This window comes from Homo sapiens, chromosome 2 (assembly GCF_000001405.40).
Source record: "Homo sapiens chromosome 2, GRCh38.p14 Primary Assembly".
Taxonomy (NCBI): domain Eukaryota; kingdom Metazoa; phylum Chordata; class Mammalia; order Primates; family Hominidae; genus Homo; species Homo sapiens.
In genome coordinates this window covers 17,896,400-17,916,654 of record NC_000002.12, presented here as the reverse complement: position 1 = coordinate 17,916,654, position 20,255 = coordinate 17,896,400, and the positions used below count along the sequence as shown (strand labels likewise).

At 41.4% G+C, this 20,255-nt stretch overlaps 1 protein-coding gene across 4 annotated transcripts in view; it reads right to left on the bottom strand.

Moving 5' to 3' along the window:
• Window positions 1–20,255, bottom strand: part of KCNS3 (potassium voltage-gated channel modifier subfamily S member 3) — a 55,112-nt gene that overhangs the window by 16,304 nt on the left and 18,553 nt on the right. The window contains exon 1 of one of the 4 annotated variants that reach the window (XM_047444255.1): window positions 15,507–15,531. The exons of the other annotated variants lie outside the window; for them this stretch is intronic. The gene's annotated coding sequence lies outside the window, so the exon portion shown is untranslated. Of the gene's footprint in view, window positions 1–15,506; window positions 15,532–20,255 lie in introns of those variants that run through there. 4 annotated transcript variants of the gene reach the window in all.

Genomic DNA, 20,255 nt, shown 5'->3' with positions numbered 1-20,255 from the left:
GGCAATGGAGGGGGAATGAAGCAGGAACACAGTTTCCAAGTTGTCCCAGCAACAGCAGAGCAATCCTTCAGCACATCTGGACTTTGCAGAGGGGTAAATTCCCACCTCCAACAGAGATTATACTGAAGAAAGATCCAGAAGCCAAATGCAGCTCCACCCAAACTGAACTTATAAGATGGAACACTTAGCAGAGGAGGTAGAGAAATCTCAACAGGGTAAGTAAAATCAATTCAGGTGCTAAACTCCTCCTCCTTCCTCCTCCATGCTTTCCTCCTCCTCCCCTTCCTCCTCCTCCTTCTTTCTCCCTCTTCCTCCTTCATGGCCTCTCAGTGGCATGTCCTTGGGTCAGCCTCAGTTCTCTGCATTCCAATGAAACACAGAACTGCTGCTGCACCTTGGTAAAAGGATATAGCACACACATAGTTTTCCTTTCCCTATCAGATGCCTTTCCAACTGTAGCACACTTTAAGGGAAGGTAGGATTAATCTGGCTGAGAGGTAATTAATAAATCACTATATTAATTACTAAAGAAAAAATAACCAAATATTTAGGCTATGCAGCATTTCTAAGTATCCCCAAGCACCGCCTAAAGTTCATTGCACTGGCTTACCACAGAAAGGTCAGGGCTGGTCCACAGACAGACTGAGAGGTTAGCCAAGTGTATCCTTTTTATAGCACTGGTATGTAATGGGCCTTTAGTCTATGTCTAATGAATAAATGACATCCCAGGCTGTCCCTTTCTCTCTCCCTCCCCACAAAACTCAGAATTCCTGTGCCTTGCCCCATTTTCCATCACCATGATTCCTATCCAAAAAAACTGGATTTTCAGACAAGATGTAATACCAGACAATATCTCTTGTTATGAATTTATGTAAATTAGCACCTCTCTAAGAGCATTCACATTCTAAGTGTGACTTCTCAACATAAAATTATAACTAGCATCTTCTGAGACCCACAAGAAGCTAAGCACCTTTTTAGGATTTTTACACACATCTCCTCTGCCCTCAGCCATTATAAGTGGTATTATCCCCATTTTATATGGGGGACATTGAGGCTCAGAGAAGTGATTTGTCCAAAGTCCTACACCTAAGGTGCACCACAGCCAGGAGTTAAACTCAGGTAGATCTGCCTGAGTTCAATTAGTGTGGAAAATCAAGATCCCTCTTAGTTGTTGGGGAAGGTCAAGCAGGGATTGGGGGGAGTGAGCAGAACATGACCCAAGCCAGTAGGCTTTGGGGAAGAAAAATGTGTCCATTCAACATATCCTCCCATTCTCCCATTCCTGCCTAACAATCCCATCCAGCGTTTCCATTTCTCTATGTTCCTACCAGCCCGATCAGTGTTGGCCTGTTCAAAAGAAGAGAGCATTGTTTGTGACTTAGCACTTAACAGGTTTCTGACTTTGCTGAGTGATTCAGCCCGATCCTGGAAAACACATCAAGCTCACTCAAATATTGCCACCCTCTGCAGAATTCCCTCCTTTCTTCACAAAACTCTCTGCATCATCCTTTTACTTCCCTCCAGGCTGGCTGCATTTCCTGGTGGGTTGACTACAGCATTCAAAAGTGAACAAATGACTGCCTCCATTATTGAGAGGGAAAAGGTAATGACTAAGTGGCATATTGGACTCTTTCATCTTCCAGACTCCTGACACCCAATCTTGGAACAGAACCCAAGGAAAAGCAAATGGACAGCAGACAGTCCACATGAGTGAGAATGACTCCCTGCACCATTCTCCCAGGTCTCAGAATCATAGGAGTAAGGTTGCCCTCCAAAAACTACAAAATCAGTGCCTGATAGATCAAAGCAGACACTCCAAGTGACAGTGCACCGTAGGTCTGTGTCCTCTGTGCTTGCACAGAATCCTGTGTGGCCCCATCACTGTCCTGCCCACAATCTTCTGAAATGTTGTCACATCAGTGCCACCCTCTAGACTGAGAAAGCCTCCAGTTAGGGACAGTGTCCTAATATCAATCTTCATATTAATTATCGCTGTCACAGGGTAGTGCATGACACATTTTTTGAACCAATTCCTCTTCCCTGAGCCAACAAGACTAAAGAGTAAATTAATGAAAAGAATAAATGTGGATAATGAAAGGCAGCTGGTAAGTAGTAGCAGCAGAGAAGGAAAGTGTGAAAGACTGAGGCTGGTTCCCACGACCAATCCCAGCAGTGGTGAAAACAGAAGAGTCTTAACCTGAAGACTCAGCATGTCCAACCCAAATGGTGGGACATCTCAAGAGTGGGGTTTTGAATGTCAAGACCTCGGAGTTTCAGGTATCTGTATAATCCCCAAAGACTTCCCTTTGTTCTGACTCCAGGCTCCCTGAGGTGCCTCCTGCTGATCTGGGTTCCCACACACCTTGCTATGAGGAGCAAACGAGCTATGCGGCCAACACAAGTGTCTACTCTGTCTGCTAGTTCTGTCTATGACTGTAATGGAACTTAGTAAGACAGGAAGAGGTGTATTTATGCAATTTCCTGTGAGTTTCAATGCAAGTCAACCTCCTACAGTTTGATCAGCTCTGGGACACCTGAGGTGAAATTCTGTAGTTGCAAGGCTAAGAGATAGCTGACTCCGACCCAACCTGTGATAATCTTACCTGGGAAATGGGACCTGTGAGTACCCTCCTGGCAGCAGCTAGCTTATCTGGAGATATCCTAACCTTGAAAACTTCTACGGCAAGATGTCTCAGCCTCGGCACTATTGACATTGTGGGGTCAGGTAATTCTTTCTTGTGGAGGCTGTCCCATTCACAGTAGAGTGTTTAGCAGCACCCCTAGCCTTCATCTACTAGATGCCACTTGTACACCACCCACCCATCACAATACTGTGACAACCAAAAATGTCTCCAGATACTGCCAATATCCCTTGGAGATCAAAATCATCCCCACTTAAGAACCAATGCTCTATAAGTACAGGAAAAGAACCTCAGGCACCTGTTTGGGAGCTGGAAGGTCAGAAGACTGGGAATGACAAATTGTACTAATACTTCATCTGCTGACAGGGGCTGGGGATACCCTCCCAACACTTGTTCTTTTAGAATTCAGTCATGGCATTTACAGTGTCATACAACCAAAACTTTAAAAATGAAGAAAGATAAAAGCAAGTTTAACCTTTTGTGGAAACTCAAACCATGCTTCATGCAATTTGAGTCTAAAGGTTAGTGAGTCTGTCTTAAGTTTTCTAACATTTTAGTGCCAGAATGATATACTGTGCATATGCACTAATCTAGTTTCAGATCTATAGCCTGCTGCAGCTTTCTGCAGGTAGGCTATTCAGCCTGCTGAATACGCCCACTCCTGACCGAAGTTCCAACCTTGTGGAGACTAATTGGTGTCCCTGGAAAAAATGCAAATTCATGTCAGTTTTGTAGTCTTGCTACCATACATCAACGACAGACCTACTTTTAATAAAATCTGAGAGCAATAAAATTATATGAATAATAACAAAAGGTGAAATCCAACCCTACCTCTATCTGGCTTAACTATTGAAAACTGTCACCCAGTGTTTAATTAAATAAAATTAAAATATCATAATCATACTGCCATAATTGGATTTAGTGTGCTAGAAAAAAAATGTACTGATATTTAAATCCTATAATCCAAAGCAATCAGAATCAAACATCTTCCAGTTGATTCAGACAGGGCATGACTAAGAATATCCCTCCACTACTAACTCTGTCCAAATTTAACTGTCAAATTTCAAGAAGTACCTTAAGTTAATATGGCAAATCCTTGAATTAACATGATTTTTAAAAATCTGTCCCTAAAAGAAAATGAAAACTTCTCAGGGTCTAATATATTCAGGGACAAACCAGTAAGTGCTTTCTAAAGCAAAGTCTCTAAATTATTTTTGAAAGGTTAGTATAAATTATATTTTTCTTGGTCATTCAGAGTGAGTAAATGCCATACCAACTGCAGGAATCCCAAGACTTGATGCATGGGTAACTAAATACCACCTTCCTTTCCTCCTGCTCTATGTTTCTAGACAACCTCCCCCTGGGGAATGGAGGGGAGGCAGCAGGGACGCAGCTGTGTTGCCTTGGCAAGAAAATCTAGAGAAAGGAAAGGAGAGACAGGCAGACCAGGCGCTTCCCTGCGGAAGGGTGTGCACCTCATAGAAGGAAGTACAACACAGTCACTGAGTGTTGACAGGGCTCTAGGGTCACTCTGAGTGGTCCATGCAACTGCTCCTGGCCACAGAAAGGAACTGCACTGGCTCCATCCACCTTGTAGTCATCTCCCTACCGCATGGCTAGCTGGAGACAGAGGCTAGGGCTGTCCCATTTGAATGCATCAAACAACTGCACTAACACAGGCCGATAAAGAGGAACTGAAAGCAAGCAGCTTTGGAGTGAGCAGGAAAGTATCATACAATGATAGCAGTGAAAACTTCTTAAAGAAACCTTTCTGGAGGACATCATAGCAATGTGTATCACAAAATCCCAGGGTTTCACATTTTGGCATGTGTCCTGAAGAAATAAATCAGACAAGCGTTGAAAGATGCATGTACAAGGTTGTTCACTGCATCATTATTTGTAAGAGTGAAATGTCAAAGACAGCCTGCACGTCCATCAATAGAGGAATGATTAAATAGACTGGGGGTAGCCATGCAATGAATACTCTGTAGCCATTAAAAATGCTGAAATAATAAAAGTTACAGAAGTTACAGCTTCCTTATACTAAGTCTGGCCCTGTGCTTTTTACATGTCTAAATCCATTTAATCCTTGCAGCACTCAGACAAGTGGTGTTTTTATTGCATTCGTTTTGCAGATGGAGAAACTGGTAAATAGAGAAGTTAACTGATTTTAGGGAGTCAACAGCTATTAAGTGACAACTCCATGATTCGAATCCAAACAATAATTCTTCAAAGCCATTCTCTTAGCTACTACAGCTCTACTGCATGTAAAACCATTAAAAAGTCACAATATGCTAAGTACAAAAGAGAAATAATTATGACGCAATATATAGCATGATCCTATCTTTGTAAAATATGTCTTTTTAGAGTAAATGAGAATATATACCAAAATGTTAAATTCATTGTCTCTGGATAATGGAATTTGGAGTGATTTTGCTTTCTACTCTCTACATCTCAACATTGTGTACATTTCTTACTTTAAATAAATAGGTATTATAAAATATTTATGAAAATAGTTATTTCTACATAGAAAAATAAAAGGTCATAAGCAGCTCCAGTCAGCATCTGGGCAGAGGAAAAGGGGAATGAGATAGATATCAAATGAACTTATAGATTCACATGAGAAAGGATCCCCAGCCCCCAGCCAAAGCCCTCCACTATCCTGAGCTAATGCTATTCATTCATGGCTGCTTTATGACAGGCAGTATCCTGGGAACTACCAAGGACAAAAGATAACATGGATCTTGCCCTCAAAGCTTACAGGAGCTGAGAAGAACAAAAAGGAGGGTAAATGGGTAAATAAATAACGGCAATACAAGGTCCAGTAGTATGTCAGGCATGGGAAAAGGTACAGAGACGGTATTGAGGAAGTTCAGAAGAGGTAGAGTCCCTCGAGATAAGGAAGCGGGGACAGCTACATGAATAGGTAGTATTTGGAGATAATCCTTGAAGAGCGAGTCAGGTATGAACAAGTAAAGGAGCCAGGTAAGGGTAAGAAGGCTCTTCTCCAAGGAGAGAAAAGAACACATACAAAAGCATGGTGGCAGGAAAGCTCGTGGTATGGACAGAGAGCAGAAAATGGTAGACTTGGGCTATAGGAAGTAGCCTATGACCTAGAGCTATTTATACAGATTATTTCTTTTAAAATATGAAGAATTCTGCCTGTACTATCCACATCTTTGTGAATTAGGAATACCAAAGTAAGAGATGTCTATGGGAGAGGAGAATGGATTGATTGCCTGTGGCCACACAGAGAATCTGCGGCTACAAAAGGACCACACCTCGGGCCTCCTGAAAGATTTAGCCACAAGGAACCAATCAGAGACTATAAAGACCTCTTGGAGTTACTGCTCTTCCTAGAACATTTAAAAAAAAAAAAAGTAGACACTTCCACTGGGTGTGCCAATCCACCAAGAATCCCAGTGATCTGAAATGGCAAGCAGTGAATTCCAGTAGTGCCAACTGATATGCTGACAACAACAGAAACAGCAACATTTCATTACTTCATCCCTCTCCTCTTTTGTATTCCATTTAAACTGTTCACCTAAGAGTTAGAGTAGGGGGTCTGTGTTGAAATTCAGGAGGTCCTTGAATTTAGACAGAAAAAAATATTTATTTTCACCAATCTCTAACTAAAATTTTAGCAATTCCTTCCATTAAAAATGCAGGCATTGGCCCAGGGTAGTGTGTATTAGCAGTGCCAATGACTTCACACCAATAGAAGTATGAATAGCTTCATATCCTATCAGAGTTATTGAAGAGATCTCAAAATATCATTTATACTCATTATTACTTTGGAATCACAGTAGTTATAGACCTACTGCTAGATTTTATTTAAAGAATTAATAAGCAAATATATTGCTAACTCATAAATTGCTTTTACTATTTTGGTAATTGCATTTCAACATAACTGGATTCCTTTACATCCTGTAGGTTTCATCTTTTGTGTTTAAACACGCTATTCTGAAAAGGGGTCCATAGGGTTTCTCAGACTCCCAAAGGGGTTCATGGCAAAAGGAAGGATTAAGAATCCTTTAGCTAGAGATCCTGTTAAAATGTGCATCACATCATGTCCCTCCTATGTTCAACCCTCCAGTGGCTTCCATCCTACTCAGAGTCAAAGTGCCCACCATCCACCCTCCCCTAACTTCATTTGTCTGATCTTACCTCCTACTCCTCTCACCCTCTATCATTCCCATCTGTCATCCTGGTCTCCTTGCTAATGCTTATCATGCCAAGTGAGCCATATCCTAATTCAGGGCCTCTGCAGTGGCTGAACCCTCTGCCTGGAATGCTCTTTCTTCTGCATGGCTTGCCCTCTCACTTCCCTCAAGTCTTCACTCAAATGATATCTTCTCAACAAGAACATCCTCAGTTAGCCTATCTAAAATGTCAATAACCCGAGGTGGGGCAGTTCCAAGATGGCTGAATAGGAACAGCTCCGGTCTACAGCTCCCAGCATGAGCAACGCAGAAGACGAGTGATTTCTGCATTTCCAACTGAGGTACCGGGTTCATCTCACTGGGGCTCGTCAGACAGTGGGGGCAGGACAGTGGGTGCAGCCTACCGAGTGTGAGCCGAAGCAGGGCAAGGCATTGCCTCACCTGGGAAGAACAAAGGGTCAGGGAATTCCCTTTCCTAGCTAAGGTAAGGGGTGACAGATGGCACCTGGAAAATCAGGTCACTCCCACCCTAATACCGCACTTTTCCAACGGTCTTAGCAAACAGCACACCAGGAGATTATATCCCATGCATGGCTTGGAGGGTCCCACGCCCACGGAGCCTCACTCATTGCTAGCACAGCAGTCTGAGATAGAACTGCAAGGTGGCAGCGAGGCTGGGGGAGGGGCGCCCGCCATTGCTGAGGCTTGAGTAGGTAAACAAAGCAGCCCAGAAGCTCGAACTGGGTGGAGCCCACTGCAGCTCAAGGAGGCCTGCCTGCCTCTGTAGACTCCACCTCTGGGGCGGGCATAGCCAAACAAAAGGCAGCAGAAACCTCTGCAGACTTAAATGTCCCTGTCTGACAGCTTTGAAGGGAGTAGTGGTTCTCCCAGTACAGAGTTTGAGATCTGAGAATGGACAGACTGCCTCCTCAAGTGAGTCCCTGACCCCCGAGCAGCCTATCTGGGAGGCACCCCCCAGTAGGGGCAGACTGACACTTCACACGGCCGGGTACCCCTCTGAGACAAAGCTTCCAGAGGAACGATCAGGCAGCAACATTTGCTGTTCAGCAATATTCGCTGTTCTGCAGCCTCCACGGCTGATACCCAGGCAAATAGGGTCTGGAGTGGACCTCTAGCAAACTCCAACAGACCTGCAGCTGAGGGTCCTGACTGCTAGACGGAAAACTAACAAACAGAAAGGACATCCACACCAAAACCCCATCTGTACGTCACCATTATCAAAGACCAAAGGTAGATAAAACCACAAAGATGGGGAAAAAACAGAGCAGAAAAACTGAAAATTCTAAAAATCAGAGTACCTCTCCCCCTCCATAGGGATGCAGCTCCACGCCAGCAACGGAACAAAGCTGGATGGAGAATGTCTTTGACGAGTTGAGAAAAGAAGGCTTCAGACGATCAAACTTCTCCGAGCTAAAGGAGGAAGTTCGAACCCATGGCAAAGAAGCTAAAAACCTTGAAAAAAGATTAGAAGAATGGCTAACGAGAATAATCGGGGTAGAGAAGTCCTTAAATGACCTGACGGAGCTGAAAACCATGGCACGAGAACTACATGACGAATGCACAAGCTTCAGTAGCCGATTCAATCAACTGGAAGAAAGGGTATCAGTGATTGAAGATTAAATGAATGAAATGAAGTGAGAAGAGAAGTTTAGAGAAAAAAGAGTAAAGAGAAATGAACAAAGCCTCCAAGAAATATGGGACTATGTGAAAAGACCAAATCTACGTCTGATTGGTGTACCTAAAAGTGACGGGGAGAATGGAACCAAGTTCGAAAACACTCTGCAGGATATTATCCAGGAGAACATCCCCAACCCAGAAAGGTAGGCCAACATTCAAATTCAGGAAATACAGAGAATGCCACAAAGATACTCCTCGAGAAGAGCAACTCCAAGACACACAATTGTCAGATCCACCAAAGTTGAAATGAAGGAAAAAATGTTAAGGGCAGCCAGAGAGAAAGGTCGGGTTGCCCACAAAGGGAAACCCATCAGACTAACAGCGGATCTCTTAGCAGAAACTCTACAACCCAGAAGAGAGTGGGGGCCAATATTCAACATTCTTAAGGAAAAGAATTTTCAACCCAGAATTTCATATCCAGCCAAACTAAGCTTCTTAAGCGAAGGAGAAATAAAATCCTTTACAGACAAGCAAATGCTGAGAGATTTTGTCACCACCAGGCCTGCCTTACAAGAGCTCCTGAAGGAAGCACTAAACATGGAAAGGAACAACCAGTACCAGCCACTGCAAAAACATGACAAATTGTAAAGATCATCGATGCTAGGAATAAACTGCATCAACTAACGAGCAAAATAACCAGCTAACATCATAAGGAGTGGATCAAATTCACACATAACAATATTAACCTTAAATGTAAATGGGCTAAATGTTCCAATTAAAAGACACAGACTGGCAAATTGGACAAAGAGTCAAGACCCATCAGTGCGCTGTATTCAGGAGACCCATCTCACGTGCAGAGACACACATAGGCTCAAAATAAAGGGATGGAGGAAGATCTACCAAGCAAATGGAAAGCAAAAGAAACCAGTGGTTGCAATCCTAGTCTCTGATAAAACAGACTTTAAACCAACAAAGATCAAAAGAGACAAAGAAGGCCATTACATAATGGTAAAAGGATCAATTCAACAAGAAGAGCTAACTATCTTAAATATATATGCACCCAATATAGGAGCACCCAGATTCATAAAGCAAGTCCTTAGAGATCTACAAAGAGACTTAGACTCCCACACACTAATAATGGGAGACTTTAACACCCCACTGTCAACATTAGACAGATCAACGAGACAGAAAGTTAACAAGGATATCCAGGAATTGAACTCAGCTCTGCACCAAGCAGACCCAATAGACATCTACAGCACTCTACACCACATATCAACAGAACATACATTCTTCGCAGCACCACATCACACTTATTCCAAAATTGACCACATAGTTGGAAGTAAAGGACTCCTCAGCAAATGTAAGAGAACAGAAATTATAACAAACAGTCTCTCAGACCACAGTGCAATCAAACTAGAACTCAGGATTAAGAAACTCACTCAAAACCACTCAACTACATGGAAACTGAACAACCTGCTCCTGAATGACTACTGGGTACATAATGAAATGAAGGCAGAAATAAAGATGTTCTTTGAAACCAATGAGAACAACGACACAACATACCAGAATCTCTGGGACATTTAAAGCAGTGTGTAGAGGGAAATTTACAGCACTAAATGCCCACAAGAGAAAGCAGGAAACATCTAAAACTGACAACCTAACATCACAATTAAAAGAACTAGAGAAGCAAGAGCAAACACATTCAAAAGCTAGCAGAAGGCAAGAAATAACTAAGATCACAGAAGAACTGAAGGAGATAGAGACACAAAAAACCCTTCAAAAAATCAATGAATCCAGGAGCTGGTTTTTTGAAAAGATCAACAAAATAGATAGACCGCTAGCAAGACTAATAAAGAAGAAAAGAGAGAAGAATCAAATAGACACAATAAAAAGTGACAAAGGGGATATCACCACCGATCCCACAGAAATACAAACTAGTATCAGAGAATACTATAAACATCTCTATGCAAATAAACTAGAAAATCTAGAAGAAATGGATAAATTCCTGGACACATACACCCTCCCAAGATTAAACCACGAAGAAGTTGAATCCCTGAATAGACCAATAACAGGCTCTGAAATTGAGGCAATAATTAATAGCCTACCAACCAAAAAAAGTCCAGGACCAGACGGATTCACAGCCGAATTCATCAGAGGTACAAGGAGGAGCTGGTACCATTCCTTCTGAAACTATTCCAATCAATAGAAAAAGAGGGAATCCTCCCTAACTCATCTTATCAGGCCAGCATCATCATGATACCAAAGCCTGGCAGAGACACAACAAAAAAAGAGAATTTTAGACCAATATCCTTGATGAACATCGATGCAAAAATCCTCAATAAAATACGGGCAAACCAAATCCAGCAGCACATCAAAAAGCTTACCCACCATGATCAAGTGGGCTTCATCCCTGGGATGCAAGACTGGTTCAACATATGCAAATCAATAAACGTAATCCAGCATATAAACAGAACCAAAGACAAAAGCCACATGATTATCTCAATAGATGCAGAAAAGGCCTTTGACAAAATTCAACAGCCCTTCATGCTAAAAACTCTCAATAAATTAGGCATTGATGAGATGTATCTCAAAATAATAAGAGCTATTTATGACAAACCCACAGCCAATATCATACTGAATGGGCAAAAACTGGAAGCATTCCCTTTGAAAACTGGCACAAGACAGGGATGCCCTCTCTCACCACTCCTATTCAACATAGTGTTGGAAATTCTGGCCAGGGCAATCAGGCAGGAGAAAGAAATAAAGGGTATTCAATTAGGAAAAGAGGAAGTCAAATTGTCCCTGTTTGCAGATGACATGATTGTATATTTAGAAAACCCCATCATCTCAGCCCAAAATCTCCTTAAGCTGATAAGCAACTTCAGCAAAGTCTCAGGATACAAAATCAATGTGCAAAAATCGCAAGCATTCTTATACACCAATAACAGACAAACAGAGAGCCAAATCATGAGTGAAGTCCCATTCGCACTTGCTTCAAAGAGAATAAAATACCTAGGAATCCAACTTACAAGGGATGTGAAGGACCTCTTCAAGGAGAACTACAAACTACTGCTCAATGAAATAAAAGAGGATACAAACAAATGGAAGAACATTCCATGCTCATGGATAGGAAGAATCATTATTGTGAAAATGGCCACACTGCCCAAGGTAATTTATAGATTCAATGCCATCCCCATCAAGCTACCAATGACTTTCTTCACAGAATTGGAAAAAACTACTTTAAAGTTCATATGGAACCAAAAAAGAGCCCGCATTACCAAGACAATCCTAAGCCCAAAGAACAAAGCTGGAGGCATCACGCTACCTGACTTCAAACTATACTACAAGGCTACAGTAACCAAAACAGCATGGTACTGGTACCAAAACAGAGATATAGACCAATGGAACAGAACAGAGCCCTCAGAAATAATACCACACATCTACGACCATCTGATCTTTGACAAACCTGACAAAAAGAAGAAATGCGGAAAGGATTCCCTATTTAATAAATGGTGCTGGGAAAACTGGCTAGCCATATGTAGAAAGCTGGAACTGGATCCCTTCCTTACATCTTATACAAAAATTAATTCAAGATGGATTAAAGACTTAAATGTTAGACCTAAAACCATAAAAACCCTAGAGGAAAACCTAGGCAATACCATTCAGGACATAGGCATGGGCAAGGACTTCATGTCTAAAACACCAAAAGCAATGGCAACAAAAGCCAAAATTGACAAATGGGATCTAATTAAACTAAAGAGCTTCTGCACAGCAAAAGAAACTACCATCAGAGTGAACAGGCAACCTACAGAATGGGAGAACATTTTTGCAATCTACTCATCTGACAAAGGGCTAATATCCAGAATATACAAAGAACTCCAACAAATTTACAAGAAAAAAACAAACAACCCCATCAACAAGTGGGCGAAGGATATGAACAGACACTTCTCAAAAGAAGACATTTATGCAGCCAAAAGACACATGAAAAAATGCTCATCATCCCTGGCTATCAGAGAAATACAAATCAAAACCACAATGAGATACCATCTCACACCAGTTACAATGGCAATCATTAAAAAGTTCAGGAAACCACAGGTGCTGGAGAGGATGTGGAGAAATAGGAACACTTTTACACTGTTGGTGGGACTGTAAACTAGTTCAACCATTGTGGAAGTCAGTGTGGCGACTCCTCAGGGATCTAGAACTAGAAATACCATTTGACCCAGCCATCCCATTACTGGGTATATACCCAAAGGATTATAAATCATGCTGCTATAAAGGCACATGCACGCGTATGTTTATTGCAGCACTATTCACAATAGTAAAGACTTGGAACCAACCCAAATGTCCATCAATGATAGACTGGATTAAGAAAATGTGGCACATATACACCATGGAATACTATGCAGCCATAAAAAAGGATGAGTTCATGTCCTTTGTAGGGACATGGATGAAGCTGGAAACCATCATTCTCAGCAAAGTGTCACAAGGACAAAAAACCAAACACCGCATGTTCTCACTCATAGGTGGGAACTGAACAATGAGAACACTTGGACATAGGAAGGGGAACATCACACACTGGGGCCTGTTGTGGGGTGGGGGGAAGGGGGAAGGAAAGCATTAGGAGATATACCTAATGTTAAATGACAAGTTAATAGGTGCAGCACACCAACATGGCACATGTATACATATGTAACAAACCTGCACACTGTGCACATGTACCCTAGAACTTAAAGTATAATAAAAAATAAAATAAAATAAAATGTCAATAACCCCCTAAAACTTCAACCCCCTTCCTTGCTTTATTTTTAATCCACAGCATTTATCACTCTCAAAAATATACTTAGACATATACTTTTTAATTTCATTGTCTTATTTACTGTTTGCTTCTCCACTCCAATATGAGCTCCCTGAGTGCAGGGATTTGTGTCTGTCTTACATATCACTGCATTCCAGTCCCTAGAACTTCATGTGACACATGGTAAATTCTTAACAATTTATTTGCTGAATTAATGAATTAATGAGTTGGTTGACATTTGCCAATAGCTTAGCTACTGGCTGCTTCCATTCTGTATGAAATTTTAAAGTCTCTCTTGCCCACTGCATTAACTGGGAAAAAAGAAAAATCACAACAAACGTGCTTTTGAAATGGTGGTCACCACAGAAGACAAGTAGCTTATTTATCAACCACTGCAGATGGCAGGTACATGTTTTTCCTTAATTAGGAGAGTTTTTATTAAAGACAAGATAGATAAGTTCTAATATACATACACCTACAAGTTATTGGCTGGATCAAATTATATCATAAAACAAATACCAAAAAGTACATGGAAAAATTGGGGATGTGGCATAAAATCAATAAAAGCACACTAACCCAGATTGTAATAGAAGTGATGCTGGCTGATAAGATCATCATACAGATTCCACCTGGCTAATACTAAAAGGAAATGGACAATGCACACACTCATGAGTAAGTGTACGTGGCAAATCACCACATTAACACTGCTTGACTTAACCTACAGTTGTTAAAATGTAAAATTACCCATCTTAAGGCATGGCTGCTTACATATTAAACTAGTAAAAAATGCATTTAACACTAGTAAAGATCTAAAGGGGCAGGGCTGTCTTCGCATAGATGTATAAAAAGCACTTTATCCCATCCTATAAGCTGGAGGGCTTTGTTTTCATAAAAACCACCAGTTTTAGAATAATCTGTCAATCAAAGCTAAGACTAGACCTTTTGTAATTCTTATCAAATGTAAGTCAAGGACAAATAAAGTACTATTTTATGTCAAATACATCTTTATATAGACATACTCAAGTCACTCACATTAAAACACACACACACACACACACACACACACACACACACACACAGTCTCCCAACCTCAAATTCCTCTCTGTAACACAGCTTCTTGAAATTATTTTCTACATTCACCCTTCCTTTTATTCTACAATTCTTGACCTAATACCCCATTTTTAAGCGTTTTTGCTAAGGGCATCTCCAGGTGACCAAACCGAAAGGACACTTCCCAATCTGCATATCTGCATCTGTCCATAGCATTTGTCCTACTGACCTCCTCTGCTTCTGCAATTCACTAACACCATTTGCTGTGTTCTCTCCCACTTGTCTGACTACTCATGTTTAGTTTTCTGTGAAACTCTGTGTCCTCTTCCCAAATCTTAAATCTGGGGTCACAAAATATTAATAAAATGTCTGCAGGAGCAAGGCAGGGACCCAAAATGAGAGGAGGAGGACACCTGGCCACTGTAACTACTAGGGAACACCGGTCTTGCTGAAGGAGGGCACTGGCCAACTGTTGTCCCTTATCTGTGGGTATCACGTGGCCAGATCACCTAGTTTGTCAAGAACACCAACAAATTTTATTTTTATAAAAAACTTCCCCAATTTTTTAAATGTTGGCAACTATGGTTCTTCCTGTTTTAATATCATCAACCAAGCTGAAGACATCTGCAGCCTGGACACAATCTGCAGGCCTCCAGCTTTGTGTCATCTCCCCACCCAGCCTCACCCACCACCATGGCCTCCTCCTTGTGCCTCTGCTCTTCTCATCAGCCAATGTCATCTGACAGTGGAGCCCAGATGTGCATCTCCAGCCCAGTCTCCCTCTTGCATTCCAGACTCACAGAGCTGCCTACCAGATGTGTCCTTCTGAATGTCCCACTGGGGGCTTACAATAAGCACATCCACATTTTCCCTTCATCCTCTATTCCCTTCATACCCGCTTACTCAGGCCAGACACCTGGAGATCATCCTAGGCTCCTCCTTTTCCCTCGCCACGGAGGCCTGTTGGCAGCCAGCCAGCACTGAGGGCAAGCAAATACACATCCCCATTGCCTCTCAACTCGATTTTTTTTTCTATCCCTCCTGCATCTGCCTTAATCCAGATACTCGGTATTTTTCCACTGGTTCACCACAACAGACACCTAACTGTCCCCCATGCCTTAGGCCTATTTCCATTCCCTACCCTCAATTTCTTCCTTCACACTAAGCTGAAGTTACCCTTAACATGCACATTGGATTAAATTATACCCTACTCACCATACTTAAAGTCCCCACATGGCTCTTTCGGCCTTTAGGGTAAACTCTGGATCCAGAATGCTTGAGTTGGTATCCTGGATTCGGCACTCACTAGCTGTGTGACCTTGGGTCAGTCATTTAGGTTCTTTGAGCTTCAGTTTCCCTATTTATAAAGCATGGATACTAAATATCAGATACCACAGAGAAGTTATGAGGATTAAAAATGAGATAATACAAATAAAACACTCTGTGCTTGGGATATAAAAATGTTCAATTAAATGTTAGCTATTATAATTGTTATTATTATTATTCCTTATCCACTAGCCTTGCCTGTCACAAACCAACTGAAACTCTAGAACAATAAAGAATTAGTGAAAAACAGCCAGACGCGGTGGTTCATGCCTGTAATCCCAGCACTTTAGGAGGCCGAGACAGGCAGATCACCTGAAGTCAGGAGTTCGAAACCAGCCTGGCCAACATGGTGAAACCCTGTCTCTACTAAAAATACAAAAATTAGCCGGGTATGGTGGCACACGCCTGTAGTCCCAGCTATTCAGGAGGCTAAGGCAGGAAAATTGCTTGAACCTGGGAGGCAGAGGTTGCAGTGAGCCAAAATCACGTCACTGCACTCCAGCCTGGGCGACACAGCGAGACTCCATCCCCCACCAAAAATAAAATTAATGAAAATCTCCGAAAATGCTCCAACTTCTCACAACTCCAGGTCTCTGCACTTGTTTGGTCTGCTCAGAATGTCCTTCAAGACTCAGCTCTATCATATTCTCCAGAACCAACCCCAGACCCCAGACCTCTCCCTACCTCAAAACCAGGCTCCCTTCCACTGCATCCCACCTACCAGTACCTGCCTCCATCAGAGTACTTAACTTGCTGAAATGCAGTAGAACAGTTTACTCATTGTCTCCACACTGCACCGTGAGCTCTGCAAAGGTAGGCCTATTTTTTCTTAATTTTTGTATCCTTAATGCCCAGCCAAAAGTAATGAATAAGCAAACAATCTTTTTTAATCCCAAGATCAATGCAGAGAACCAGGCATTAAGATGATTCCCCACTTATGAATGAGGAAATTGAGGTTTCAAATAGTTAAATGGAAAGCAGAGGTGGCAGCCACAGAGACCACGCCCGCTCTCCAATGAGCCCCATACTGGGGAGGCACATCGTACTCTTTGCTTCTGTAGGGGGTGGTTGTTGTCTGTCCTGACACAGCAGGCTCATGCCCTTAAATTCAACTGTATTTTGGCTTTATCTCCCTAAATGAGTGTTTAAACAATACCAATTACTTATATCACCTCATGCCCTTTCTGTGAAGAGCTACAAAACATCTACAAAGCACTGGGATAAATAGAAGAGTCACAGTTTGTTATGGGCTTATCTCTATAAAGTATGTATGTTCAGTCTTCTTTGTAATGTCCATTACAAAATAACTTTTCTGGAAAACCTTTATATAGTGCTTACTTTGTGCCAGGCACTATTTGAAGCATTTTACTTTATGCTACCTAATGCTAGATAAATAGATACTATTATTAGTCCCACTCTGCAAACGAGGATACTGAGGCCTCAGGGGTTAAATAACTTGCCCAGCCAAAAAGAAGTGGAGCTAAGATTTGAATCCAGGAGTGAAAGCACAGATTCTGTAACTACCACTTTCTGTTTGTATAATGTAGCTAAATTATTAGAATTGTTCATTGAGGTTTCTTCATCTGTTGATAAATAGATGATAGATAGATAGATGACTGACAGCAAAAGATAGATGTAATATAATAATAATATAATAAGATAATAGTACCTACATCAAAATTTGATTATAAGAAATAAATGGGTTAATATGTGGATCACATTTATAACAGTGTCTCGCACATTATGTAAGTGCTATATCAATATTTACTATTGTGGTTTTTTTGTTTTGTTTTGTTTTGTCTTTTGTATTTTTGAGACAGAGTCTCACTCTGTCGCCAGGCTGGAGTGCAGTGGTGGGATCTCGGCTCACTGAAACCTCCACCTCCCGGGTTCAAGCGATGCTCCTGCCTCAGCCTCCTGAGCAGCTGGGAATACAGGTGTGCTCCATCACACCCAGCTAATTCTTGTATTTTTAGTGGTGACGGGGTTTCACCATGTTGGCCGGGATGGTCTCGATCTCTTGACCTTGTGATCCACCGGCCTCAGACTCCCAAAGTGCTGGGATTACAGGCCTCAGCCACCGCACCCAGTCTATTGTTATTTTTTCACTAAGTATTGCCAGAGCCCTGAGTGCCATCTGAGAAAGAACTGGAATTGAAAGTACACAGGAAATGCTGCCACCTATTTGATGCTAATTTGACCCACTCTAGGTAGACCTTGGAGCAAGACCAGCCTGCAGCAATACTGGGATGCCAGCAAAGTTGGTCTGCAGGGATTTAGTTTCCTCTGCCCCTTTGAGAACATCCTTGCTCCCTCTCTGAAAATAATGTCCTCGTGTTCTCTCCTTGCGCCCCTTTCAAACCAGTAGGAAAGGCTAGGAGATTAGTCTTTAAACTCTGGTGTGAAGTAAGACCTCTGGATGTTTCCTACATCTATTAGGGTTCTTTGGACACAAGCAGCAGCAACTGGTTGCAGCTAACTCAAACAAATGTAATTTTTTCAGATGGCTATGTGAAGCTCCTAGAACCAAAGAGAAGCCTGAAAAGCCACACCTGGAAACAGGCAGGAGTCAGGGCCCTTCTGAGGAACCTGAAAGTTGAAATTACAGGAATAATCAATATCATTAAAATGGTCATACAACTCAAAGCAATCTACAGATAGATTCAATGCTATTCCTATCAAACTATTAATGTCATTTTTAAAGAATTAGACAAAACTACTTTGAAATTCATATGGAACCAAAAAAAGAGCCTGAATAGCCAAAGCAATCTTAAGCAAAAAAAAAAAAAAAAACCTAGAGGCATCACATTACTGACTTTAAGCTATACTACAAGGCTACAGTAACTAAAACAGCATGGTACTGGTATAAAAACAGACACACAGACCAATGGAAGAGAACAGAGAACCCAGAATTGAAGCCACATACCCACAACCATCTGATCTTCAACAAAGTCAACAAAAATAAGCCATAGGGAAAGGACTCCCTAATCAATAAATGGTGCTGAGATAACTGGCTAACCATATGCAGAAGAACAAATTTGAACCCCTACTTATAACCATGTACAAAAATTAACTCAAGATGGATTAAAGTCTTAAATGTAAGACCTCAAACCATAAAAATCCTAGAAGAAAACCTGGGTTTTCTTTCTAGAAGTCATTTATTAAAGGAAATACCTTTCTCAACATCAGCCTTGGCAAAGAATTTGTGGCTAAGTCCTCAGAAGTAATTTTAACAAAAATAATTGACTAGTGGGACCTAATTAAACTAAGGAGATTCTGCACAGTAAAAGAAACAATCAAAGAGTAAACAGACAGCCTATAGAATGGGAGAAAAAAATTGCAAATTATGCATCTGACAGAAGACTAACATCCAGAATCTATAAGAAATTTAAATTGACAACAAAGAACAAATAACCCCATTAACAGACACTTCTCAAAAGAGGACATACAAGTGGCCAACAAACATATGAAAAAATGCTCATCATCACCGATGATCAGAGAAATGCTGGCAAGGTTGCTGAGTACACACTGTTGCTGGGAATTTAAGTTAGTTCAGCCATTGTGGAAAGCAGATTGGAGATTTCTCAAAGAACTTAAAACAGAACTACCATTCAACTCAGCAGTCTCATTACCGGTATATCCAAAGAAAATAAACATTCTACCAAAAAGACGCATGCATTTGTATGTTCTTCATGGTCTAATCACAATAGCAAAGACATGGAATCAACCTAGTTGCCCATCAACAGTGGATTGGATAAAGGAAATGTGCTACATATACACCATGGAATATTACACAACTGTAAAAAAGAACAAAATCATGTCCTTTGCAGCAACATGAATGCAGCTAAAGGCCATTATCCTAAGAGAATTAACACAGAAATAGAAAATCAAATACCACATGTTCTCACTTATGTGAGTGGGAGCTAAATATTGGGTAAAGATGGACATAAAGATGGGAACAATAAACAATGTGGACTACTGATGGGGGAGGTAGCAAGGGGGGCAAGGGTTGAAAAACTACCTATTTGGTATTATGCTCACTACCTGGGTAACTGGTCCCATCATACCCCAAACCTCAGCATCAAGCAATATACCCAGGTAAACAAACCTGCACACATACTCCCTGAACCTGAAATAAAAGTTGAAAAAATGAAAAAAAGAAACTATAGGAATAATTTATAGAGGAAGAGATCTCTTCAGAGAGCCAGCATAGGAAAGAACTCACTCTAGAGGTCTCTTCCATTCTCAAGTCACTCAACTGACAGTATCAGACTGGCTGAGCCCATACCACCTGTCCACCCAGTGGCTATACTGGGGCAGGGAGAAGAAGCTGGCAGAAGGAACCTCTTGGGAGATCTTCACAGTTACTTACAAAGTCAATATTCAACAGTGCAGTATAATTACCCAAAGGGAATTAGGGGGACCTCAGGAAGATGAAACAGACATGTGGCCAAAAATTCCACTCAATCTTCCCAGAATTCTCAATTCCAAAAAAAAAAAAGAGTCTAAGGAATTTCAGCCATCAAGGAACAAAACCAATTAACTATCTGGGTGACAGAGGCCCGTCTCCAATGCCCCCAAAGTCACACCAGTACATAAGCCAGTGACATCATTTTGCTTCTACTTGTAATGCCCTTT